General features: G+C 44.6%; 1 protein-coding gene across 7 annotated transcripts in view; it reads left to right on the top strand.

Annotated features, from left to right (window-relative positions):
* The window catches only part of ERG (ETS transcription factor ERG), a 294,523-nt gene that overhangs the window by 62,206 nt on the left and 205,925 nt on the right, over nucleotides 1–26,392 (top strand). For all 7 annotated transcript variants that reach the window (NR_111949.2, NM_001243432.2, NM_004449.4 and 4 more), the window contains 2 exons: nucleotides 14,633–14,734; nucleotides 23,831–23,916. Coding sequence is in view for 5 of the 7 variants with exons in the window: in NM_001243432.2 (NP_001230361.1) it covers nucleotides 23,878–23,916 (39 nt within the window). In the remaining 2 variants the exon portion in view is untranslated. Of the gene's footprint in view, nucleotides 1–14,632; nucleotides 14,735–23,830; nucleotides 23,917–26,392 lie in introns of those variants that run through there.

The raw sequence follows: 26,392 nt of genomic DNA, 5'->3' as shown, positions 1-26,392 counted from the left end.
CTCCTCTCCTTACCACTGACCTCTGCCTCTGGTTCTCCAGGGTTGGAGCAGGAAGACAGGACAACAAGGGCTATTAATGGGGTTACTTGGCCATGCATCATAATTTGGTGTCGGATTCCCCTCTGTGAAGCAAAGGTCTAAAAGCTGCCCCTTGTTCATGGAATGCATGGGAGGGTGCGGAAGGGCTCTTGCAGTGACATTGCCCCACAGCTCTCCATGGCAGGGTGACATCCCTGTGTGTGTCTGCTGATGGTACCCTTCCCCTAGCTTCACCCTGGTACACCTCCAGCCTCTTTCTGTCAGGGCTGGCTCACCCCTGCAAGTCCAGCCACCTGCCATGGGTCCCTGGGTACAAGGATATACCCAGGCCCTCTCACCTCACCATGGATGGAAGCTCAGTGTGCCCCCCCATGGCCTCTCCTTCTTACCTGTCCCCAGGCAGCCTCTGCAAACTTCTCTACCTGGAAGGCAGTCACTAGCCCCTGTGCCCTGGTAGCTCAGAACCCTAGGGGAACCCTTGGAGGCAGCCTAAATGGTTTTTTTGAAGCTTCCCTCACTGGCCTTGAGGTTGGTGCATCTGCACATGGATGTGAAATTTCCCTGCCTATGTCCCCCTTTCCTTTCTTTCCCTGGGGTGGAGAGAGGTGCTGCACAGCCTCTGAAACTTTCTCTGAAGGAATGCCAGGTCTCTGGTCTCTTCTATCAGTGCCGGTGCACAAGAGCTAATTGTGCAGATGTCTCCCAACTCCTCCTTTGGTTGATTGAAATTGTGGGAGGATTTATACTGTGCAGAAACCAGAAAACTCTACACATCCACCCTGCTCCCCTCTGCGACTGTGGGAGCTGTATACTCAGCATTGACCAGTTTCTGACATATATACCCTTGAGGCCGGGAAGGCAGAGGGGCAGGGACTTGCTGTTGTTATTTAGGTCACTCCTTAGAGAGTTGTGCATGGATGTGCGGGCATCCTTTTTTAGAGAGTGCACCGCTGCTGTGCTCTGTGTGCTATTCTGAGCCTCAGCCGATGGCAGGAAATGTCCCATTTTGCACTCAGTTACTTATGTGGCATTTGTGATACATTAGTGCTGTGCCTGGTGTTTCTTTCATGATATTATTCCCTGTTTTCCAGGTTAGGAAACTAAAACTCTGAGAAGGTGGACTTGTTCAGGGCCAGGTGGATGGTCACTGCTAGCCTCTGTGCCTGCACTCTGCTGCCTGCGCTTCCATGCCTGTGACCCTGTCTGTGGGGTTCACTGAGCCAGTCTCATAGTCCGGCTGCTGACTCCAGGAATGGGGCATGGGGCCCAGGAATGCCTCAGCGATTCTGATGCAGGTGGCATCAGATGGTTGGAAATCACCTCTGCAGCCTGACAGGGACTGGAGTCTTGGGGTTCTGGGAGAAAATGGGTGGTTTTTAGAGGGAAGCCCTCCTCCTTCCTGTGCTAGAGCAAGGTCGGGCTTACAGTCCTTGCTATGTGTAAAGGACGTGGCTGGTCCAAGATCAGGGCTTTCCTTAACTCCATCTAGGGAGCCCAGTGACTCTGGTTTGCTGAGATTGACCTCCACACAACCTGAGCACCTAATGCTGTCAATTTCTGCTGGATTGTTTTGTGCTTATTAACGAACTCTCAGTTATTTCCCACATAATCGACTTTAAGTCAACGGATTGCAAATGTTAATTACATCACGTAATTTCTAAATTATATGATTTTATAATTTCTAAATTATATGATTTTATAATTCTGAGTTTTATTGGCAGTTTTGGTAATTTACTCTGTGCACATTCAATTTGCCCAGTTGGTGTGGGCTCTGTGATGTGCTGTCTGGGTTCCCTTCAGGAAGGAAGGACTTATTCCCTCAGATGCTGGGAGTATGGTTGGAAGATGCCTCAGCTGTCAGCCCTCTTTGGGAAGTGCCTGCTGATGATGACAGCCCTGTCCAAGCTCATGCCTCGTTCCCAGGACATCCTACAACCAATGACTCATCAATGCAGGAGTGTCAGCCAGGGTGCTCCAGAAAGATCCAACAGGATGGATGTAGATAGATCTTTCTCCCTCTCTCTCTTTCTCTGTGTGCGTGTGTGTGTGTGTGTGTGTGTGTGTGTAGATATATATAGATATCTCTCTATATTTCAAGTTCCTTAAAATAAATCTTATTACACCCATCTTTATGTCCATACATAAATGTACACACACGTGTGTTTATATGTATATAGATATAGAGATAAAATGAGATATCTATGTATGGATGTATATGTATGTAAATATATATAGACAGATAAACCAATTTCTTAAAAATACATCTCATTATATTGATCCATATTTATAACTGTGTACATATGTGTATATACATATGTATGCATCTAGATTCAGATGGATGATAGATATAATGAGATGTATTTTAAGGAATTAGTTTACACAATTGTAGACTGGCAAGTCTGAAATTGGGAAGGCAGGCCAGCAATGATCTTTCCTTTTCTCCAGAGTGGGCCACAGCCCGGTGCTGCAGGAAGAAGAAGATATTACCATTAAAAAGAACAGCCAAGCTCTCCTGGATAAAAGGAAGCCCTGGGAAGTTGGTGTCTGCTCAGATTACCTACACAAGAGTCTCAGTGCTTTTTGGGGAGACTGCCTTTTGTTTTCAGAAAATGTAGGTGGATGTGACTGAGTTGAAGGTGGGTGGTGTGATGTCTGAGTCTTCCTGGTGTTGGTCCACCCCATGCCTTAAACACCACTGTGGGGAACCTCTCCTGGGAGGTAAACCACTTCCAGCTCAGCCTGAAACCAACCATGTTCTTCAGTCTTCTCAAGAAGGCCATCTTGGCTGGGTGAGATTTTCAGAGGTTAATTCAGAGACTCGTTGCCAAAACTTTGCATTTCAGAGATGTCCAGGAAACTAAGGAATTCTCCAGAGAAACTGGGAGGCATTACAACAGATATTAGCTTGCATGTACCTGTGTAGTTGAATTTCTGTCATCAGGACAGAAGGATTAGTTCTGTCAAGTAATCAAGTGTCACACGGTTTGGCTCACAAAGGTTAATCTTTCCACTCTTCCTGGGCTTTGACTGTGAACAAGTATCGCTGGATCACAAAAGAGAGGGCCCTGTGGTGGAGATGACTCACAGAAAGTGCCTCCTGTTTGCTTTCTCTGCTGTTGAACCAGGATGTGCCTTTCTCTACACTTAGCAGACAGTATGGTCCTCAGGAATACACAGAGGCTGGTTTTGAATTCCGAGTTTGAATTTGTGTTCATTTGCTTACCCTACCTGTGATCTTCACATGCCTCAGTTTTCTGAGAAATGAGAACAGGAATAATCACCTTTCAAGCTCTCTCAATAAATGGACCTAGTGATTAAAACTATGAAAGGCTCTGCCTGCACCTTGCACTGCTGAAGAAAGCTGTTACCACGACACAGAAGAAGGGCAGTAGCCTTGCTGGGTTAACTGGGTTCGTGATGAGCTTATTTTTTACAAAATATTAAGATGTTCTAGCTATTATAAAAAGAGACCCCCCCCCCCCAATCCCACACCAATTTTTATATAGAGAGGATCTGGTCCTGGGATTGCAAAACCTGTTCAGATTCCAGAAGGCTAGGCCAGCAAAGAAAATTCTGGTACTTAATTGTGCCTTTCTCAGCAAAAGAAAAAAAATGCTGAATAAACCTCATAATGCACCTCATGAATGCTACAAATTGAAAACTCAATGACATTTCAAGCAAGAAAAGAACCCCCTAGTGATATGTTGGTTCACCAGGCAGGTGTGTGGGAAGCCAGATGGCCAGCGAGGTTCTGCCCTCCAGGAAGGGTTTGCCCTCCAGGTGCGGACCCTCTCCCCATGTCACTGAGAAGCTCTTTCCATCTCTCTCCATTCTTCATCACAGTCTCCATCTTAAAGGCTACACACTGCCTCTGGAAAGTCTTGCTGTTCTTTAAGGGCAGAACACTTCAGAGCCAGCCTCCACCGCTCCCGCCCTGCTTCTGCTCTGAGGTGGCCCCAGCAGGAGTACCAGTCCTAGACCCTGACTGAGCAGAGCTCCCGGGCTTCCATTGACCAACCTCACAGGCCCCGGGGTTCAAGGATGCACATGCTCATTCTTGGGGCTGAAACAGAACTCCCCATCTTCACTGAGACCCACATTTCCTGGCTTTCCATCCTGCTCTCCTCTCTTCCCTGCACCTTCTCTGCTTAATTGGCCACCAGGCTCTGACATGTCTTCTCATCTCCACCCTGTCTCTTGCATTCCGAGGCTTCCCCACCTTCATTACCTTGGGCTGGATCGTGGCAGCCATCCTGGAACTGGCCTCTCTGCCTCTGGCCTTCCCTCCCTGTAGTCTCCTGCCTCATGAATCTTCCCAACAGCCTCTTTGGGAAACTTTGCTCGGCAGGTGCTCCAAAATCTTCAGCTATTTTCACAACAAGGTTCGGACTTCCTAGCCTAAAAGTCTAGACTCTCCCCACGTCTTGGCCCTTTGAGATCCACACAAACCCTCATCGTCCAACCAATGTGCCTGCCATTTCCCTCTTGCCTCGGGCTCTCCTGCTTCTTCATTTTTCTGGAACTTCTGCCTGAGAGACTTGTCTGATTTCTCTCCAGCCTCTCTGTTCCAGGCCATTGTGCAAAACCCCTCAACTCTTTTTTTGCTTGGCAAATCCCTTCTCAGCCATCTCAGGAGATGGCCAAGATGGCAAAATCATTTTTACAGTTTCGACAGGGGGCTTCTATTAAATGGTCTCATTGACTCCTCACGTAAAGTAGCTGTGTTGGCTCCCTGTACAGAGTCTTCTGCAAGCTGCATTTGATTTCTGTTTTGCCTAAGTTATTATTGTTGTCTGGATTGCCTTCCTCTCTGACGTCCATATAAGTTCTTCCTATTTTTCATGATCTGGGTTCTGCTATTCAAGGCTGAAATGCCCTATTTTCCTCTCCTTCAGATGATTCCAGTTCTTCTTACTGGAGCAGCTATGTGGCCCCTTCATCTGCATCACAAAACCTGGGTCCACAGCCTTCCTCTCCTGCAAGGCATGTGGGCTCTTTGGGAGTGAGAGACACACCTTGCAACTTTTCTGTCCCATATGGCCCCGTCCACAGCTCTGTGCATGGGGTGAGTGCTCAGTTCATACTTGTTAAAGGATGCTTTGATGATGGAGTCCATGGAAAATTCTATATAGATGCAGTGCATACCTATGAGGCTTCATGGGTTAACGGGGAGGCATGTTGTCAACCTCAGGTCCTGAGTGTCGGGGAAGCATGTTTGTGGCGGGGTTCATGATTTCTATTTTAAATATGAAGGATGATTTTTAAATTTTTATTTCCCAATTGTGTCCAGTACAAATGAGGTGATCTTTGTGCAATCCTTGTAAACCAGTCAAAACTCAGTGGAAATGGAAAAGCTGGTTTCATTGCTCCTGGTGGCTCAGTACCCATCACTGAAATCCCAAAGTGTTTTTGGCAAAGCCGATGGGTATAGAACTATTTTCATGATGAGTTCAAGGTTCTTTGAAATTCCCCACCCTTAAAGAGCACAAGGAAACCTTTTCCTGTTGGTATTCTCTAATTTTTTTTTTGTCAACAATGTGATATACGAATTGGGAATCTGAAATATTTTTTCTTCTTTTTTCTTTATGCTTTTAATGCTGCTTGATTTTTCTTAGGAAAGGTTCTCACCTCTATCTGCCTCTCTATACTATATCTGCCTCCTACAAGTATCAAAGTGATGCTGAAAGAATAAATTTTATCTAAAAAATGATAACTTGTAATAAAGTCTCTTATATGTAATCTCTCTTTAATATGACTTGCCATTTTTGTTCTATTATAGATTATTTTGTACTTGGGAGTTTTGCTTTATCTAAAATATTGAGATGCTAATATGATATTAGCTAATTGCCAATTGGGTATTTTATATATAACCTCAGAAGTAATTATGTATTTTTTTTCTGTCCAGTATTGTTCATTTGCAAATATAAAACAGATCTCATTGCAAAGATGGTTGTCTATGCATTTGCTTCTTTAAGATTTGACCTTGTAATTATATCGAGACAAAATTCATTTTGAAGGTCAAATTTGCCTCTAAAACAGACTTCAAGATTGTGTTCTCAAAGATATATTGTGTTTGATGAACTTTCTTAGAAATACATAATGCTTGTTTAATCTGTGGCTTGCTTTTCAGTTGTCTGCTCTTGTAAAATGACTAAATATTTGTTTTTCCAGTTGAGCTTAAGGAAAAAATCCCTGGTAAATGTGTTTTCTTGAACAGAAGGCTCAGTGTAAAGCAGGAGAGAAGTCATATTTATAGTTGCTTTTACTTTCTTGATGTCATCCGCCTTTCAAATGCTGTCTGTTTTCCTTCAGATCTCTCGTTTTTACAGGGGGGCCCCAGGCAGACCCTGGTTCCCACACTGAGGGACATGGCGCTGTTTTGCTGCTGTGTGTTTTGTTCTGGTGGAAGCTGGCAGCCACCTCAACTCTGAGATCAGCTCAAATGCTTTACATGCAAAACGGCAAGGCTGAGAAAGAACTGAAAGTTTCCTTGGGTCCAAGAACGTCTTGGGCTTTACAAACTGGTGCCCACAGGCACATTAATACCTGTGTTTATTTTTCTATCTCCTGACACACACATAAAAAATGGGAAGACGCACTGGGGAGAAAGGTTGATTGAATGTCATGAATGAAAGAAAGGTTGACCCTCCAAAGCAACATGAAATGAAACCAAACCACAATAACAACCAAATGAAATAAGACTGACAAGAAGTATGCGGTCATGGCCAATACATGGCTCAGACATGATTCATGGAGACCCTTGAAATTTTCTTCCAGCAAAACTGCACTTTAAAGGTTTAAATGTTCAACATTTCTCTGTGACTTAGAGTAAAAGGGGACCCTTTAGGGAATTGTATAAGAGTCTAAGGATTGCCTTACTGAGTTCTAAAGTATAGCAGAGTTAGTGGTGCAGCAGTTTACATAGGAAAAGCACACACACACACACACACACACACACACACACACAGTGAAGGGAGATGACAATAAGCAGCCCACATTTTGGGCTATTAACCAGGTTTAGAAAGCAAAATTGCTCAAGTGGGAGTAACTGAAGAGCACTCAAGCCTGCCACTTTTCCAGATTTGGAACTCCGCCTCCCTGGTTTCTCCTCTCATCACAGGGTCTCAGCGCCTAGGAGAGCAGCTGGCTATGCTGGCTTCACAGCTTTCCTCTGAACACTCTTTTCTTATCAACAGTTCCAGGCTTCTTGGTCTCTCTTTGGCTTCTGGAGCCCATGTGTGCTAGAGCTGGCTCCTCCCAACTCGCTAGAGCCGGCAATGATGCGTTAGAGCACATCTTTTCCCAACTCTGCATTCAGGGACTCCCCTGGGTTCCTTGCAGTTGCCCATGATGGAAATATTGACTCCATAGAAATGACCAAGTGCTTCAAATCAGGAGTTTTCCTGTGAGAGCCTGTTGTTAGCCATCTGGCAGCACACCCCTTCTGAGACAGTGGGGTCCCACCTTCCTGCCAGAACTGACCCCACCATTGTGCTGTGAAACATGGCATTTCCTCTACCTCTTCCCCAGACAGTAACGTCCTTAAGTGCCCTGGCTCTAGAATCTCTATCTCCTCTACTCCACTGGCTCCCTTTATCCTGTCTATAAACATACCTGCTTTTCTCATCCTTCAAACAGACTGAGCAAATAAGATAAACCTTCTTTTCATTGGTTTGTAAATGCCTTGAGGGCAGGGCTGAGTCTTGTGCACTAGTGCATCCCTAGCTACTAGTAATTTCTGAAGTACAGTAAGTGCCCAGCAAATGTTGGGTGGGTGAAGCCAGTTAGTGCTTTTCATTTTTGTTTTCATTGTTTTTTTGGTTTTGTTTGTTTGTTGGTTGGTTTGTTTTGAGGAGTCTCACTCTGTCCCCCAGGCTGGAGTGCAGTGGTGCAATCTCAGCTTGCTGCAACCTCTGCCTCCTGGATTCAAGTGATTCTCTTGCCTCAGCCTTCTGAGTAGCTGGGATTGCAGGTGTCCACCACCATGCCCGGCTAATTTTTGTATTTTTAGTAGAGATAAGGTTTCACCATGTTGGCCAGGCTGGTCTTGAACTCCTGACTTAAAGTGCTGGGATTACATGCATGAGCCACTGCACCCTGTGGCATTAGTGCTTTTCTTTGAACTGCCACTCCCTCCCTAACTTTGTTGCTCAACTTCTTCTATGAGTAGCCTACATTGCCCTTTGCATATCCTCCCTGTTTTTAACTACTGAGCCATTTGGCTTAATGCTGTCAGGCTCCTACAACATTTTTAGAGGACAGCAAGAGGTTTTAAGTTGCCAAATCCAGGACCTGTTCTCAATGCGTATGGTTGGTTGAATGACTTTCTCCTGGACATGAATCTCTCTGCAGTTGCGACACTGAACTTTCCATCTTACTGAATGTCCTTCCTTGGCTTCCATGACTTAGATCTTTCCTAGTTTCCTCCTTATGCTCTGACTGCTCCTCCTTGTGTTCTTGGCTGTTTTCCTTTTCCTTCTCAGTCTGAAAATATTTCAGACACTGCCTTCAATCCTCTTCTGCCTCCCTAACTCCCACTTAGACTCTTTTGCCCCTTTCACCCCTGGACTTTCCAATAAAGAAAAAAGAGGAAGGATTGCAGAATTTCTGTTTTTAAAAAGCTCTCCAGCTGATTGTCATGCTCAACCAAGCTACACTCTGGCATTAAGGATCAAGCAAGGCAATGGGGGAGTTGGCATTTGTGATTTTTTTCTTTACAACTCTGTCTCTCTCACTAGGCTCTGAACTCATTGGCAAAGCCCAACCCTAGTTAGTGTTTAGCTCAGTGCTTGGCACATGGAGGGAACTCAGTGCGTATGGATGGATGGATAGATGGATGGATGAATACATGGATGGATGGGTGGATGGATGGATGAATACATGGATGATGGATGGATGAATACATGGATGGATAGATGAATGAATACATGAATACATGGATGGATGGATGGATGGATGGATGGATGGATGAACAATTGTATGAATGAATGGATTTGAAGGGCAGGTTGAATTTAGATCATGGAAGAAGACAACATTATCAGTGAAATCATCCCTTAATTATAGAGACAAATCATTCAACATTTCTGAGTTCATACTCTGTGCCTTGTGGGACATACAGGTGAAAGACTCTTTCCCTGCAGCGTGCTTCCTTGGAGAACACTTCCCTTCTTTCCTCTCCTCATCTATTTCCTCCACCTTTCCTGCTCTCCTCCCCATTCCCACTTACTGAAATGCTAAGTGCCCATCAACTGCTCTGTTGCTGCATCTTTGGTACCTCTCTTGTGACCCTCACCACATTATGCCTCCACTCAGTAATTTAATTTAAAGTATAACCTCTCATCATAGCCTTTGTTTATTGAGGGGAGGTTCCATGCCACCTCCAGTACCTGGACACTCAACATGTGGATAGACTGAGATAGGCCACTTATCATGGTAATAGTTATTTACTAATTCTTAGATACGGTGTTGTAAGTATGGAGATCTATGAGCTGAGCTAATTTCCAGCAGATCATTTTATTTTAAAATTAGAACTGAAGAGCATACTCAGCGTGTCTGCGTGACTATGGATACAGATGGTAAAAGAGCTGAAAGCGACTTTTTTGAACATGGCTACTAGAGTGTATGGGATACTTTTGCTGCCAGTAATAACAATAACAACAAAAATGACCCCAATTCAAAATGGTTTAGTTAACAAGGAAAATGCATTTGATGTGCCTAGCTGCCCTGCCATGAGATGCCTTCAGAGTTGGTTTATACTCTTCCCTACCATAGGTAGAAACACAAGGACTTCCCTCCTTTCCCCCAGATATCCACAGCACATTGGTTTTATCCTCAGGTGACCTCTTCTCATGGTCCTGGGATGGCTCTCACAGTTCCAAGTGCCACACAGACAGGACTACTACTCTATGGCCTTTCTTCATCAGCCAACACTTTTCCTAGAAGTCCTCTAGCTCGCTTCCCCGAGTGTTAGACTGACCAGAATTATATCATGTGCCCTTCCCTAAACCAATCCGTGGTGAGAAGAGATGGTGCCCAGTGATAGGATTTACACTGGTGTTGGGGCTGGTCATCCTCCGTGGGTCATGTGGGGGCAGGCAGAACACCCAAGCAAAATTATGTTTCCTTCCATAAGGGAGGAAGGGCAGCCAGTTACGTCTGCTGCCATTGCCACCTGTGTGTGGCTATACATGGAAAAAGCAGGCTGCTCTGTGGCTGTGTTCACCATAACTGTGGGGATGGACGGCTGCTGCTGCTCTGTCCTTGGCATTGCTGGTGGGAGTGGAGCCTTCTCCCCAGGCTGCTGTCACGCACGTGGGGTCCAGGCTACTTCTTGGAGTGAGGGTAGCTTTTCTGGAGTTTTCTTTCTTCACAGTAGCCAGTTCCACCTATGGAATATTCACTGCTGCTTACACGTGGTGGCCAGGGAGATCTGTGCGTAGAGAATGGTTCTCTTGTCTAGTGTTTTGGGGAACAAGGTGGTCATTCATTCCTGAATTTAACAATGCCTTTGCTGGGCATGGTAGCTCACCCCTCTAATCCAAGCACTTTGGGAGGCTGAGAGAGGAGGATTGCTTGAGGCCAGGAGTTCGAGATTGGCCTGGACAAAATAGTGAGATCTCATGTCTCCAAAATTTTTTTTTTAAAAATTAGCCAGGCATGGTGGTGCATGACTCTTTTTCCTATAGTCTGAGCTAGTTGGGTGGCTGAGGTGGGAGGATCACTTGAGCCAGGGAGGGTCCAGGCTGCAGTGAGCTATTGACACCACTGCACACCAGCCTGGATGACAGAGAGAATCCTGTATCAAAACAAAGACAAAAACAGAAAGCAGTGCTTTGCATCTGTCCATCTGGACCATCAGCAACCCCTTCTCATTGAACTTGCACCACCTCTCTGGAGTCAGAGCCTCTTACTCACAGTTTTCAGATGAGCAAACTGAGGCTGAGGGAGGTTTTGTTGGCTGCTAGTGGGTCAGCATAAACTTGGGGCCCCAAGCTCAAGGTTCTTTCTGCCTCACCATGGCTGCTTTGACACCTTAAGCTTACCCTTCAGGTACTCAGATGTGTTCAGCTTTGGCCATTTCCAGTCCAGATTTCCTGATGATCTGGTGCCTTCTTCTACCTCCCCATACAGAACACAGAACCTGACTGAATACTGAATCCCAGGGGTCATGTGGTTTGTCCCACTGGCCAGGGGCAGGGCTTGGAGGGTGGTGGTGGTGGTGGGGGGTGTCTCTTCAGGTCATGTGACTCCTTGACCTTGGCTTTCTGCCGTTGCTGGACCAGGGGTGATTGAGCTGGGGTGAGCAGTTTGCACTCTTACCAATGTTCTCAAACGACTGTATTTTTGAGTTCTTGAGTCTGGTTTACATAATTTTCTGACTTTTTTGCTTTGATGAGGCCAGCTCACGCGGCTGGTAGTGTGCCTTTCTCTGGCAAAGCTTCTCTTCGTGGACTTCGTGACATCTTTTTGGATCCTTTGTGGCTTCTCAGCTGTGTTACACATAATTTACGTTGTCAGGTAAATGCTCTCAGGATAAATGAAATATTAATAACGCCATAATGCTAATTTAAAAATACCCATTGCACATATTTAAGAGAATCCTCTCTGGGCTTGACTCTGGGCTTTAAATCAGGCCCAACAATGTCTCAACCATAAATCAAATTATCCTTTCAGCCTAGTAGAGGTTTTGGCATAAAAACCTACTATAGAATAGCATAGTATAGGAAATCTTAGTTCACGCTTTTAAAACTTTTATTCCCTTTGCAGAAATTGGAAACCAAATACTCCTTTAACCACTTATCCATGCAAAACAGTTAACCAAGCAATAGTCAATATTGGCTTTTGGATTTGGGGAACATGTTTATTAACTCAAGATTTGCACAGCTTTGGCCGGGCGCCGTGGCTCACGCCTGTAATCCCAGCACTTTGGCCGAGGCGGGTGGATCACGAGGTCAGGAGATTGAGACCGTCCTGGCTAACACGATGAAACCCCGTCTCTACTAAAATACAAAAATTAGCCGGGTGTGGTGGCGGGCGCCTGTAATCCCAGCTACTCGGGAGGCTGAGGCAGGAGAATGGTGTGAACCTGGGAGGCGGAGGTTGCAGTGAGCCAAGATCGTGCCACTGCACTCCAGCCTGGGCGACAGAGCGAGACTCCGTCTCAAAAAAAAAAAAAAAAGATTTGCACAGCTTTGCAAAGCATGATCTACTGCACCGTCCCCCTCCCCCATCCCCTTGAACATCAGGCTGCCGAGCAGGGAAGGCCAGCTCCTTGGGCCCATGTATGACTGGATGGGAAAAGAATACATTACAGTGAAATAAATGCTTTAAAAGCATGTTTAGGATTATAAAATGATTATTCCTTAGTTTTCTCCCCTGATTATAAAGATGAATATTTTTGGTTTAGAAAATTTGGAAAATACACAAAACTATAAAGAAGGAAATAGGAGTTCAACTTTTCAGATGCTATGTATAAGTGAGAGGATGCAGTATGTGTCTTTCTGTGCCTGGCTTATTTCATTTAGCATAAAGTTCTCCAGGTTTGTTCATGTTGTCACAAATGACAGGATTTCTCTTCTAAATGCTGAATAGTGTTCCATTGTGTATGTGCACCACTTTTCTTTATGGGCGTTTATGTTGATGGACACTTAGGTTGATGCCATACCTTGTCTGTTGTGAATAATGCTGTAATGAATTTGGGAGGGCTGGTACCTCTTTGACATACCGATTTCATTTTCCATTTTCTTTGGATCTATCTCCAGAGTGGGATTGCCAGCAATCATGTAGTATTTTGATTTGTAATACATACCAAATTGAGTTGTAGTACATTTGTAAAACATATAGTATTTTGTTTTGTAATTGATCTTTGTGTTTTTGAGGAACCTCCATCCTGTTTTCCATAATGACTGTACTGATCTACGTTCCCACCAACGGTGGGCAAGAGTTCCCTTTTTCCACATCCCCACCAACACTTGTCTTTTTGATAATGGCCATTCTAACAGGTGTGAGATGACACTCATCATGATTTCGATTTGCATTTCCTTGATGATTAGTGATGTTGAGCGTAGGGGAACTGGGGAGATGTTGGTCAAAGGACACAAAATTTCAGTTAGACAGGAGGAGTAATTTCAAGAGATCTGTGACTTGAACTTGAATAGACCTATGATCTATTGACTGTAGTTAATAACAATGCATTATATTCTTGAAAATCACTAAGAGTAGATTTCAAGTGTTCGCACCACAAAAAAATAAGTATGTGAGGTAATGCAGATGTTAATTAGCTTACTTTAGCCATTCCAACATGTATATATATATATATATATATATATATATATATATATATATATATATATATATATATATTTCAAAACATAATGTTGTACACGGTAAATATATATTACTTTTATTAGTTGGTTTAAAAAATAAATAATTTTAAAAATATTTTAAAAAGAGGAAAATAAGAACTCCTATTTCACACTGGAAAGCCAAAGACCATGACTGTTAACCATTTTGATAACTTTTCTCAGGTCATCCTCTTTCCTTTCCTGCCTTCCCTCTTTTATTTCATCCACTTATTTTTTTTTCTTTGTGCAATATTGGGATGATATTATGTACGTGGTTTAGTACCCTGATTTTTTTCCCCCAGTAATGTGTTTTATTTTCTGTATCACAACAAATGCTTTTCTGTGACATCTGGGCAATTTGCCTCTATGCATAGGTTTCGAAGACTTCAGGTGGAGTTGGCTGGGGGCTTCCTAAGTAGAGTGGGAATGTCAACTGGCCTGTGGAACCATTTAGAAATAATTCTGCCCATTACAAATATTGATTTGATGCAGTGCTTAAGATGTTTTCTAATTTAAAAATATTTTCAACGGAAACAGATGCCATTTACAATTTCTCATGTTGTAAGGATTCTACTAAATATATTATTTGGGGATTGAATATTTTACTTGGAAAGTTGTGTAAGAAATTCCTGTATCTAAAAAAAAAAAAAAAAAAAAAAAAAAGAAGAGAGAGAGGGACTGGATTTTGGAGCCGTGCTACAGGCATATTGTAAGAAAGATTTTTTTCTTTCTATCTTTTTAGCTAGTTAGTGTTCTAAGATTTTAAAAAATACAGATCCTCCTAGCATTTACAAAGTAAAAGGGTTGTTTCTTTTCTGGGACTATGACAATTGCTTAATTACAGTTCTCGGGATGTTTTCTAAATTCTAAATCCCACTACCCTGTTCTGAGCAGCAGAAAGTGCTAACAGAATGATCTAGGGAAGCCATTATTACCAAAGCTGGGGGCTATAAGGAAAAGAAAACATTTTCAAAATATTTTCTGTGCAAAAGCATCTGTGTGCTTCAGCATGCCAGTTAGGCTTGGCCTTGCTTTCACTCCCGATTTTTGCTTCATAATGCTGGGCTTCCCTCAGAGGAGAGGAATGTTGTCCCCTCTTTTTTTAAGGGGAAGGATTTAAGTTCTTTCCCCTTTTAGGATATTTTAAAATAATGTTTAAGAAATAGGTTTTGTCGGTACATGTACAGTTGATCCCTGGTATTAATATTTGAAAACAAAATAAGGTTTAATATTCTTCAACTTATATTCAGGTTATTCCAGGATCTTTGGAGACCCGAGGAAAGCCGTGTTGACCAAAAGCAAGACAAATGACTCACAGAGAAAAAAGATGGCAGAACCAAGGGCAACTAAAGGTAAAATGAACAGAACCCAAATAATCTTATGCTGCCTAGTCAGGACCCCTTTTAAAAAATGTGGATATGTAAATATTTTGTATCTTTCCTATTTGATTTTCATGGTTCCAAACCTCCACAGACCATTTCTGGATTCTTTGCTGTACTTGGATGAATTATGTTGGTTCTACATGACACCCTTGACTTCCCTGAGATAAGATGCCCCATTGCCCAGCACTGCCTGTTCCTGGCCCTACAGTGTGGAGATTTTAGAATTACTGCCTTCTCAGTTCTATAGTCTTCACAGCCCCTCTTTTCTCCATCACTGTCTACTCTCTTCTCCCTTTTCCAGAGGAACCAGAAGCTAGGTGTCTACAGACTGGTGCTTTTACGATATTTCCATTTTTCTATCATACTACTACATTTGGCTTACAGTCATTTTGTGGTTATTTCACCTGAATGCAATTGAAACCTTCTTTCAAGGGGCACACCCAGGCAGTGAATCTTTGTATTCACAAAACATGCCAAAAAATAAAAATAAAATCCAGTTGAAGAAGGAGAGGGTCAGCTCCCTCTCTCTAAGGCATGCCCATGAGGCCAGCTGGAATGCTAGGGCTCCCCTGGAGAAGCACCGCAGGGATCAAGGTTATGGGGGTGCTCACATGACACTCATGCAGGCCGCAGAATGTATGAGTCCCTCCCTTGCCAGAATGAAGCCAGGGTCGATCAGTGGAAGGAATAGTAGTCCATGGAGCCTGAGACATGCCTTGACCAGGGTCAGAGTTCAGTGAGAAATGGTACAATTAAAATGGATGTGGCTCTTGAGGCCATGCCCTGACTGTGAGGCCTCTAATCTGCATTAGTTAAGTGACTTTCGTAAGTCCCTCCATAGAGGTGATTTCCTTTCCCAGTGCTGTTGTAACAAACTGCCATGAACTGGGTAGCTTAAAACAACAGAAATTCATCATCTCACCGTTCCGGAGGCTGGATGTCCAAGATCAAGGTGTCAGCCCAAGTGGTTCCCTCTGAGGGCTTTGAGGAAAATCTGTTCCAGGCCTCTTTTGTCTTTTCCCTGTGTCTTCACACCATCGTCCTTCTATACAGGTCTGTCTTTAAATCTTGTCCCTTTTTTTGTAAGTGGATCAGTCACATTGGGTTAGGTCACTAATGACCTCACTTTAATTTGATTGCCTCTGTAAAGGCCCTACCTCTCTATCATCACATCCCGAGGGACCGGGGGTTAGTACTCCAGTGCATGAACTGGGGGAGAGAATTGATACAATTCAACCCATAGCTATAAGTATTTTTATTCATTTGGAAAGATGAGCCATTTCCTACTGAAGAAGTCCATTTTCTTATTTTTAGATAAATGTGGGAGATGCATTCAGTTTCTCATGCTGTCTTCTGTCTCCCGCTGGTATTCCCTGCTTAGCTTTGGAGTGCAGGAGCCAGGGCTGGACTGGGTTAAGGTGACTGGGGCACAGGATTTCGGGCGGTGCTCCCCTTTAGGTACTGATCCTGCACTTGCATGAGCCTGAGAGGGAGAGCCTCCTTAAATCATGGGCCCTATGTTTCTCCCTGCCTCCTTCTTCCTGCCCCATAAGGGAGGCCTCTGCCCCAGTCAGGGGCCTGGTGTGCTTGGCAGGAATCAGGCCTGTGCAGTTCTTATGGCAGGGTTTGCTGGTGAAAGACTGATTTGCCTAATATCTGCTCATCCAGGACAAGTGCACCCAGCGACCAATGCTTTCAAGGAATGGATTCATTCCTATGAATACTAAATTGCTTAGAGCCATTTTGCCTACAATGTTTTCACTTAATGACTAGTTATCTTAAAACTAAAAAATACATTTCTAAATTAAGGATGTTTTTAGTCAGTTGACAAAGGGCTCTTATGAAAATTAGCAATTTATTTATTGAGGATTATTTTTCCTAAAAAGTTGCAACATTTTAATTAGCCAGCCATGGTAGCACGTGCCTGTAATCCCAGCTGCTCGGGAGGCTGAGGCAGGAGAATCAGTGGAACCCGGGAGGTGGAGGTTGCAGTGAGCCAAGATTGCGCCACTGCGCTCCAGCCTGGGCGACAGAGCAAGACTCCGTCTCAAAAAAAAAAAAGTTGCAACATTTTATACAGTATCAAAATCGTCCATTTGAAATATTTTTACTTTCTTAATTATAATGATTACCACTTGTTTAGTGTTGATTATGTGCCTAGCCTTGAGAGAGTTTTCTTTCTGAGGCATAATTTAGTTTAATCCTCACAAAAGCCTGATGGTGTAGACAGAGGAGATAATCAAACAATGGTTCAACTTGCATACTGACCAGTTAGAATAGATACAGGCCAACTCTTGCACTGACACCTTTGTGAATTGCTGAACATCGTTTGGAGGTTTTACAAATTTTTTATTCATGTTTCCCAACACCAAATACATCATGTCTTCGCCAGTACCAACCAGTCATTCAACACTGATACCAACTGGGTGTCCAACAGTTCAATTCAGTTCTGACACTGACTACCGGAAGTTAGCACATGGGTTTAAGGGCTGAGCTCCCCAACACCGTCCTCACTTCAGATGCCAGTTACAAGTATTGGGTCCCCAGGTTACCTACACTCTGTCTGACATGGCTACAACATTGGGGGTTCCCACAACCCCCCTTTTAGGTGCAACAACTTGCTAGAACTCAGGAAAACGCTATGCTCTTATGATTACAGTTTATTATTAAGCATATGAATGAACAACCAGATGAAGAGGTGCACAGGGCAAGGTCTGGAAGGATTCCAAGTACAGGAGCCTCTGCCCTTTTTTTTTTTTTTTTTTTTTTGTGAGATGGAGTCTCGCTCTGTTGCCCAGGCTGGAGTGCAGTGGCACGATCTCGGCTCACTGCAACCTCCTCCTCCCGGGTTCACGCCATTCTCCTGCCTCAGCCTCCTGAGCAGCTGGGACTACAGGCGTCCACCACCACGCCCGGCTAATCTTTTGTATTTTCAGTAGAGATGGGGTTTCACCGTGTTAACCAGGATGGTCTCGATCTCCTGACCTCGTGATCCACCCTCCTCGGCCTCCCAAGGTGCTGGGATTACAGGCGTGAGCCACCGCGCCTGGCCGCCTCTGTCCCTTTAGCATTGGGTTGCACCACACTCTTCATACCAATATGCTCACCAGCCCAGAAGCTGTCCTAACCCCGTCAGGGTATTTTATGGAGATTTTGTTACATAGGCAGGATTGATTAAATCACTGGCCACTGGGGATCAACTCAATTTCTAGCTCCTCTCCTCTCCTGAGAGGTTGGGAAATGGGGCTGAAGGTTCTGAGCATCTAATCAAGACTCACTCTTTCTTGCAATTAGCCCCCATCCTGAAGCTATCTAGGGACTCACCAACCTGCTGCCTTCTTAGAACAAAAGATGCTCCCATCACTTGGGAAATTCCCAGAGTTTTAGGAGCTCCATGCCAGAAACGAGAGACAAGGGCAAATGGAGTTCTTATTATACTACAGTAATATTATCCTCATTGTGCAAATGTGTAACTAAGGCTCTTGGAGGATAAAGTGATCATTTATAGGTTTCCAAGGAGTAAGTGGCAGATCTGATTTCCATCCCTCATCTGGCTCTGCACTGTGCTCATATCGAGCACTGCCCCCAGCCCAGCGTCCTGCCTATGCCTTCTAGGCCCCATTCCTGCCCTCCCCAGCTGAACCCATCCCCATTCCAGGACATGCCCCAGGTGCTGGGGCACCCAGAGTGCCTTTCCAAACTTGACTGAGCATCTTTTGGGCTGCACCAGCCTGTTTCCTGGAGTTCATCTTCTTGGGAAGATCTTGTGTGTGTTTCCCTGGGTCTGAAAGATGAGCAGGGAGCATTGCTGAATGGAGTGTGGCCATGTGGATCGGGATGTCCACGTGACTATATGCATCCCCTAACCCGCAGAACACAATTGGGTTTGAGAAGAGAGGAGGGGTAGGGTCGAGGGGTCTCAAACTTCCATCTATTTTCTTGCACCAGCCCTGCAAATATTTAGGCCTTCTCTTAACCATTTTGCAATACTGCCTCCATAATTACAAAATGCTTATTTTCCCTTCTACCTTGGGTACCAGTCCATCTTTTTTATGTGGTTAGAGCTTACGTAATTCAAATCAAGTTTGTTTCTATTTAGTAAGACATTGGCATTTTGAAAACAAAAACAAAGAAGTGACACAAGTAGAATTCTGTTATTGTTAAGGCCTTTTTTGTTTCTTTAAGATACCCAATAATAAAATATAGCTGGGTCATGAAACACAAAATCATATGGAAGTATATACCTTAGCAAATGAGTTTATTGCAAGAAACAAGTATTAAAGAAATGATTTTCAATCAACATAGAGTGAAGTTCTGCAAGGGTTCAAAGGCAGGTAAAATAGAAAATAAAAAGGTTCCTACAGTGACATGAAACTATCACCAACTACTAAAAATTTTTAGTATGGTTTTAGTTTGTTTGGTTACCAACTACTACATATTTGAGAAATGACCATTAGGAACACAAAAGTAAATTAGAAGTACTCTTTAAAAAATCCATAAAATACCTCTGAAATGGTAAAAAAGAACAGGCACTCAAATGGCTGCAAAAAGAGTCAGAGAGGGCCAGGTGTGGTGGCTCACGCCTGTAATCCCAGCACTTTGGGAGGCCAACGTGGGTGGATCACGAGGTCAGGAGATCGAGACCATCTGGCCGACACGGTGAAACCCCGTCTCTACTAAAAATACAAAAAATTAGCCGGGCGTGGTGGCTCACGCCTGTAATCCCAGTGCTTTGGGAGGCCGAGGCGGGTGGATCAAGAGGTCAGGAGATCGATACCATCCTGGCTAACACGGTGAAATCCCGTCTCTACTAAAAATACAAAAAATTAGCCAGGCGTGGTGGTGGGCGGCTGTAGTCCCAGCTACTTGGGAGGCTGAGGCAGGAGAATGGTGTGAACCCGGGAGGCAGAGGTTGCAGTGAGCCGAGATCGTACCACTGCACTCCAGCCTGGGCAACAGAGAGAGACTCCGTCTCAAAAAAAAAAAAAGAGTCAGAGATCCGTGTGGGTTGAGGAGGCAGGGGAGGGTGGTTGAGCTTTTATTCTCCTGGTCTTTAGGTCCGTTGGGTTTTCGCTGAGCTGGTGTGGAGGGTGGCAGTGCCATCACGCTGCGTGCTGAGTGAATCCCTTTGGTGTGTGATCACTCTGGTGGTGGCGGTGTGAGAAGCTCATACGCCCTTGGTCTCTAATGTGGCAGAGCTGGGAGAAACTTAGGTTCCCTGCTTCATGCCTTTCACCCTCTTTCCTCCAGTCCTCATGCTTCTTGTTCATCAAGGCTCCTTGGTGGCACCCTCTTGTCTCTGCATGAATCAGCTCTCTCTTTCCTCTAGGTATATCCACACGCCTCACTGGGCACCTCCACTAACTGCCTGCTCTCAGGACTGACCGCTTCATATCTGTATGAAACAGATCTGTTTCCCATCTCGATCCCTCAAGGATCAGGACTGTGTTGCATCTGGAATCTCTATCTATTCCCTTCCCTGTCATTTTATACTTGATGCAACCTGAGTACTCAAAACTTCCCCATAAGAAACAAGAGACTCAAACAGTTGCTCATTTAGTTTATGTCTTGGTTGGTTACAGACCGAGTGGCTGCTGTAACTTCTATGATGTTGCTGCGGTCTTGGATATCCAAGGATGTTTTGATTTTTGGAATCCAGGGGAGGCTGGCAGGGCATCATGTGAAGTGAGAATTCAGTTGCTCCTGGGAAGGGCTCTGGGAATCCCATGGAGGCTTCTGGTGGAGGTTTCTTGGTTATCCTTCAGTTTCCAAACCCATTTTGAGGGCAGGATTAGGGTTTGAGATCATGTCTCGTAGGTGAGTGGAAATATTATGTCTCTGTGTTGGGATGAAGTGGCTTCCTTTGAAATGCCCTGTTTGAGTCTCCTTTTATCACTGGCTAGAAAAATTTTAACGAAGATCTCGGTAATCTGATTGTACATTGCAAAGTGTATGTCAGTAATCTATTGTCACAAAAATGCTGTGTAACAAATTCCCCAAATTTCAGTGGCTTCAAGCAGTAAGCACTTATTCAGCCATGAGCCTGTGGGTTGGCCATTCTGGTTGGACTTGGCTAGCGGCTGGTCTGGTTGCCTCCCTCCCATGTCTGGGGTTTTGGTTGTCTATGGGATGATCAAACGTAGTCTTGGTGGGGTGATTGGGGTGGGTGACTCTGCCTCAGGTACCTCTCATCCTCCCGCATGCATCTGGCCATGTTCCCATGCTGGTGGAAAGTTACAGAAAAGCAAAGGGGAACATGTCCTGCCTCCTGAGGCTTCAGCTAGGATCTGTCATACTTGTCTTTCTGCTACTGCCTGTTGGCTGAAGCAGATCATATAGGCCGCCCAAAAATAAGGGTTGGGAAGTAATTCTACCTCTTTAATGGGAAGAATCACAAAGTTATGTGGCAAAAAGCATGGGTACAGGAGGAGTTGAGTGTTGGAACCATCTTTGTACTTATCCATAGTGACAGTGAAACAAGCTATTTACCCTCTATCTTCTCCGTGCCTCTAGAGCACTTACAGGGTGTTTCAATGACCTGTGTGTGTAATAAACTACCCCAAATCCTAGCAGCTTAGTACAACAACCCATTTATTATTGGTCATGATTCTGTGGGCTGACTGGACTCAGCTGGAAGCTGCCTCCCTGATGTCGGCAGGGGCCGTGGTCATCTGAGAGTCAGTTCTCTGGACTGTCCAGGACAACTCCCTCCCGGGCCTGGCGTTGGTGCTGGCTGCCCCACTGGGCACTCGGTCCTCTGCCATGTGCTGTGCTGCTGAGGGTATGGGGACTTGGTTTCAGGAGGCAGGAAGGGGAAGCTCCCACTTCCATAAAGGCCTGAGCCTGGGACTCCTGAAACCTTCCCTCTGCTGTGTTCTGCAGGTCAGAGGCAGCCACAGGTCAGCCTGGGTTTGAGGGGAGGGGGACGAGCTTCAGTCCCTGGTGTGAGCGTCAGCATGTGTGTGCAGGCAGGGAGGAACTGTGCGGAGTGAACTAGTCCAGAGAGAATGTCCAGACATACGGAAATAGCCATGTGCTCCCCAGAGCAGGGTTGTGCAGTGGGACGCCCTCCCTTTGTGAGGATGGCTTGCAGACGCTCCCCTTCCGGGCTGAATGACCCCAGGAGCAGAGTGGTGTTTTCCTGTGGCACCTGCTGCTCTTAGGATAAGGGGAGTTGAGGATTCCTATGCTCCCAGAAACCTTCAGCCAGGCCCCATCCTCTCCCAGCCTCTTCTCCCACGAGAGCACCAGGAGCCTGGTCACCTTCATCTGCTTCCCGGTTCAATTTCAGGACTGCACTTCACTCCCTCTGTACTTTCAGTAACTCTCATCCCCCAGAGGGACTTTAGGCCTGGGGGTGGGGGTGGGGGGAAGTACATATTTTCCAAGACCTAGAAATTTGGTTATAGAAAAAAAATGCCTAAGGTTCCCAGCATGTCATCTTCTTGGTGAGCCAAGCTCCGCCAATCTTGGGAGGCCTCCAGGGAGACTGAAGACAGATGTGGAGCATGCAGATCTGGAGGTAGATGCTCTTCATGAGAGGCAATTGGGTTGGAATGGGTGTGCCTGTACCGTGAGAGGTCAGAAAGGACAGATGTGAATGTGGGGAGGACTCCTGTGAATGCTTTCACTTGTCACTACAGTAATGCGCTCAGTAGCAAATTTGAAAGACAGCCTTCGAAAATGTCTCAAGTTCTGTAATCATATTGTTTATTTTTATTTTGCATTTGTTACTGCAAAGAGCCATTGTAAAGGAGAAAACAAACAAAAAACTACAGGTGATAAAAAGCAAGTGATGGCTTCTAAAAATGTAAACTAAAAAAGGCATTTTTAGTGCCAAAAAAGAACTGATGGCTTGGCTGAGATCTGCAGAGCACCAGAGACTGGCTGGGGACCAGGTACTGGAGGCTGGAGCCTGGAAGGAGGGGCCCCATGACGGGAGAGGTCCCCCTAGAATCCAGCTGCAGTCAGAACCATAACCAAGCGCCCAGGGAGGTTGGGCGGCAGGTGTCGGTGGTGGGAAGGTGAGGGGAAGAGATACCCCTCTCCTCTCACCCCTGCTCTCCAGAGGGGGCCACGTCAACCAACCCTGACAGGTGGCCAGGAGGCAAGGCACCCTGCTGAGCCCATCTGTAGAGGTCAGCCCTGGGGCCTGTGACAGCAAAGGGAGGTTGGAGACTGGCTCGGTGGAAGGGGAGGGCACAGACAGTGGTCAGAACATGCTGCTTTATAATTTGAATAAAGGAATATATTGGATGAAGTATTTATTTCTGGAAAATTCCTGGATTATAGGCATCTTTAAATTTAATTTATTTAAGCGGTGTTTTAAAATGTCCCTTCAAAATGTGGGTTGATACCTGCTAATTAAGTCAAACCAAATTTTTTTTGGGCTCTGGAGTCAGATAGCCTAATCTGATTTGAAGTTTGGTTCTGTCGCTTATTAACCAGGTGATCCTGGACAAATCAGTAACCTTTATGAGTCTTGACGTCCACAGCTGGACAATGGGAATGACAGCTCTCAGAGTCGTGGTTGGAATGAAATGAGAAAATGTGTGTGGAGCCCTTAGCGCTCAAGGAACTGGCGCTGAAGTACTCAATGAATGGTAGCTGTGCTGTTTACTAAGAACTTAATAACAAAGCTGAAAAGGATGTGCAGATCGCATGAGTTTTGGTGGGATTTCAAAGTCCTGTTTTCTCAGTATGATAGAGAAGTATGCCCTGTTTTAGTCCCACGTCTTCCTTTAATGGATCCCTCATTAGATGCTGCCCACGTGGAAGGATGTGTGGATGCTGCATGTGATGTGGGTTAGCTTGAGCTAGATTCTTCTGTCCTGTCGGACTAGGGTTCTCTTGGGCTCATTGTAAGTGATTTTCCCAATGGAAGGGAAGTGAGTTATCTAGTCACCTCATGGACCACACGTACCTAGAGGATGCCTTTAGGCAAACATGTTTAATGTAAAGCTATGATTCTTTTGCCATTGGTGAATTGTGTCCTGTCCTGCTAGAACATAAAACACAGAAATGCAGTTGTTTATTATTATGTATGTTGTTCCTTTTGTCTTCTAGCCGTCAGGTTCTGAACAGCTGGTAGATGGGCTGGCTTACTGAAGGACATGATTCAGACTGTCCCGGACCCAGCAGCTCATATCAAGGTAAGTCCCGTCTTGGCTGGGAAGCCAGCTCTGCCTTCCTCTGTGCCTAGGTTTTCATGGATAGCAGCCCACATATCAGTTAATTAGGGGTCAGTCAACACAGCCCAGGAGCTAAGAAAATGGTTTTTACTTTTTTAAATGGTTGAAAAATCAAAAGAAGCATATTTCGTAACACATGTAAATTGCATGAAATTTACATTTCAGTGTCCATAAAGAAAGCTTTATTGGAACACAGCCCCATGCATTCATTTCTATATCATCTGTGGCTGCCTTCACTCCATAATGGCACAGTTGAGTAGGTTCGACAAAGACCATATGGCCTGCCAGCTGAAAATATTTACTGTCTGGACCTTTTCAGAAAAAATTTTGCTGAGTTAATATATGAAATCACATCCAAATTCTTCTAACTCCTGTTATAATTCCATCTCCTTTATACTTGCCTGGGGTTAGCGAGCAGGAGACAAGTAGGTGAATGATTGGATTTCCGATGTTGGAACGTTGTTTTATCTGGGCTCGCCGACACTCAGCGCTCCATCACCTCACACCTGCCCTGGCTGCTTTCTGACCTGCACTTCCTGAGGCTCTGGAGGTGAGAGGGTGAGGAAGTGCGACTTGTGCCAAGGGAGGTCCCTGAGAGGACTCTGGCCATTTATTTTGACACTACACATACATGTGGGTAATAGCTACAGGGAGGAAATGAGATGGTAGTTTTCATATATTTGACAAAAATAAAGACTGCAGAAAAAATTGGGGCTTAAGCTACCTTATCCAAACAGGCTGTCTACACCTGTGCTGGTTAGTTCAACTATATCTATGCTGGCCAAAGTAATTGACTGCATGGCCAGTTCTTCACTTTCCCCATACTAATTCATTTTCCCTAAGTGGTGTGGTTGGTTTTACTAATGTATATTCCTTGCCTAAAACATTAATTGAAAATGGGAAGGGCTTATAATTGAAAGCAAAGTTTGTGATATTGAAAAGTGTACCTTTTTGAATAAAATATAAAAAGCCTTTCAAAATCCCACACATACAATTACACATGGACGTACACACATTTTAAAACAATACATTTGGTGAGGCATTCTGGACCATGTGCAGCTCACATACACACACATTTACTTTTTTTGAAAATGGAATTGGAAGTAATAAGAGTTTCAATGCATTCCTTGAGCTTTGTGGGTGCTCCTTCACTTTCAGAGATTGTGGTAACTCTAGGGATGTCGAGGATTCTAAATTTTGCCCAAGGCCATAGAGGAGCAGATGCTTATGGGGACACTATAATTTGATTTCTGTGTGATGTTTTGTTGGGCTATGATGGTTGTGTTTATCAAAAAAAGTGCAAGTAGGAAATCTCTTGTGGATGTGATAAGGTTTCTTCGGAAGTGCTGGGAACATATTTGATCAGTGTGTCTGTGCTACACAAGTAAAGTGGGAGAAAGACTTTCTTTAATTTTTAGTGTCTGCTGACCATGAAGCTGCATGATGCAAAGAAAAGCTCATAGGGAAGTTGAGACAATAAATATCTTCTATAGTTCAGATTGTGAGGGACGGCAACTGAAATTCATTTTATTAGCATTCCACACCACCCCTCCAGGCAACCAGAAGGAAATGATGAAGTCAGCAAGAAAGTATTACAGGTTTTAAAAAGCTAATTCATAAAGGTGAAACAATCCCATACAAACCTGAAAACACCATCTTTGAAAATGTGTGTTGGTAGAAACGTTCTATATTTGATTTCAGGAATGAACTATGTTTTCGGCTCTGATTTATCTTATTATCTGAAGGGGTGACCTTCCCCTCCACAACTGTGGGTATTTCTAGTCAGGTGGGACGAGAGACTGAGAAAAGAAATAAGACACAGAGACAAAGTATAGAGAAACAACAGTGGGCTCAGGGGACCGGCGCTCAGCATACCAAGGACCTGCACCGGCACCGGCCTCTGAGTTCCCTCAGTTTTAATTGATTATTATTTTCATTATTTTAGCAAAAAGGAATGTAGTAGGAGAGCAGGGTGATAATAAGGAGAAGGTCAGCAAAAAACATGTGAGCAAAAGAATCTATGTCATAATTAAGTTCAAGGGAAGGTACTATGCCTGGATGTGCACATAGGCCAGATGTATGTTTCTCTCCACCCAAACATCTCAGCGGAGTAAAGAATAACAAAGCAGCATTGCTGTAAACATGTCTCACCTTCCACCATAGGGCGGTTTTTCTCTCATCTCAGAATTGAACAAATGTACAATTGGGTTTTATACTGAGACATTCAGTTCCCAGGGGCAGACAGGAGACAGTGGCCTTCCTCTATCTCAACTGCAAGAGGCTTTCCTCTTTTACTAATCCACCTCAGCACAGACCCTTTACGGGTGTCGGGCTGGGGGACAGTCAGGTCTTTCTCATCCCACGAGGCCATATTTCAGACTATCACATGGGAGAAACCTTGGACAATACCCCGCTTTCAAGGGCAGAGGTCCCTGCG

The sequence above is a fragment of the Homo sapiens genome, chromosome 21 (genome assembly GCF_000001405.40).
Source record: "Homo sapiens chromosome 21, GRCh38.p14 Primary Assembly".
NCBI classification, from domain to species: Eukaryota; Metazoa; Chordata; class Mammalia; order Primates; family Hominidae; genus Homo; species Homo sapiens.
This window is presented reverse-complemented; position numbering and strand designations above follow the sequence as displayed.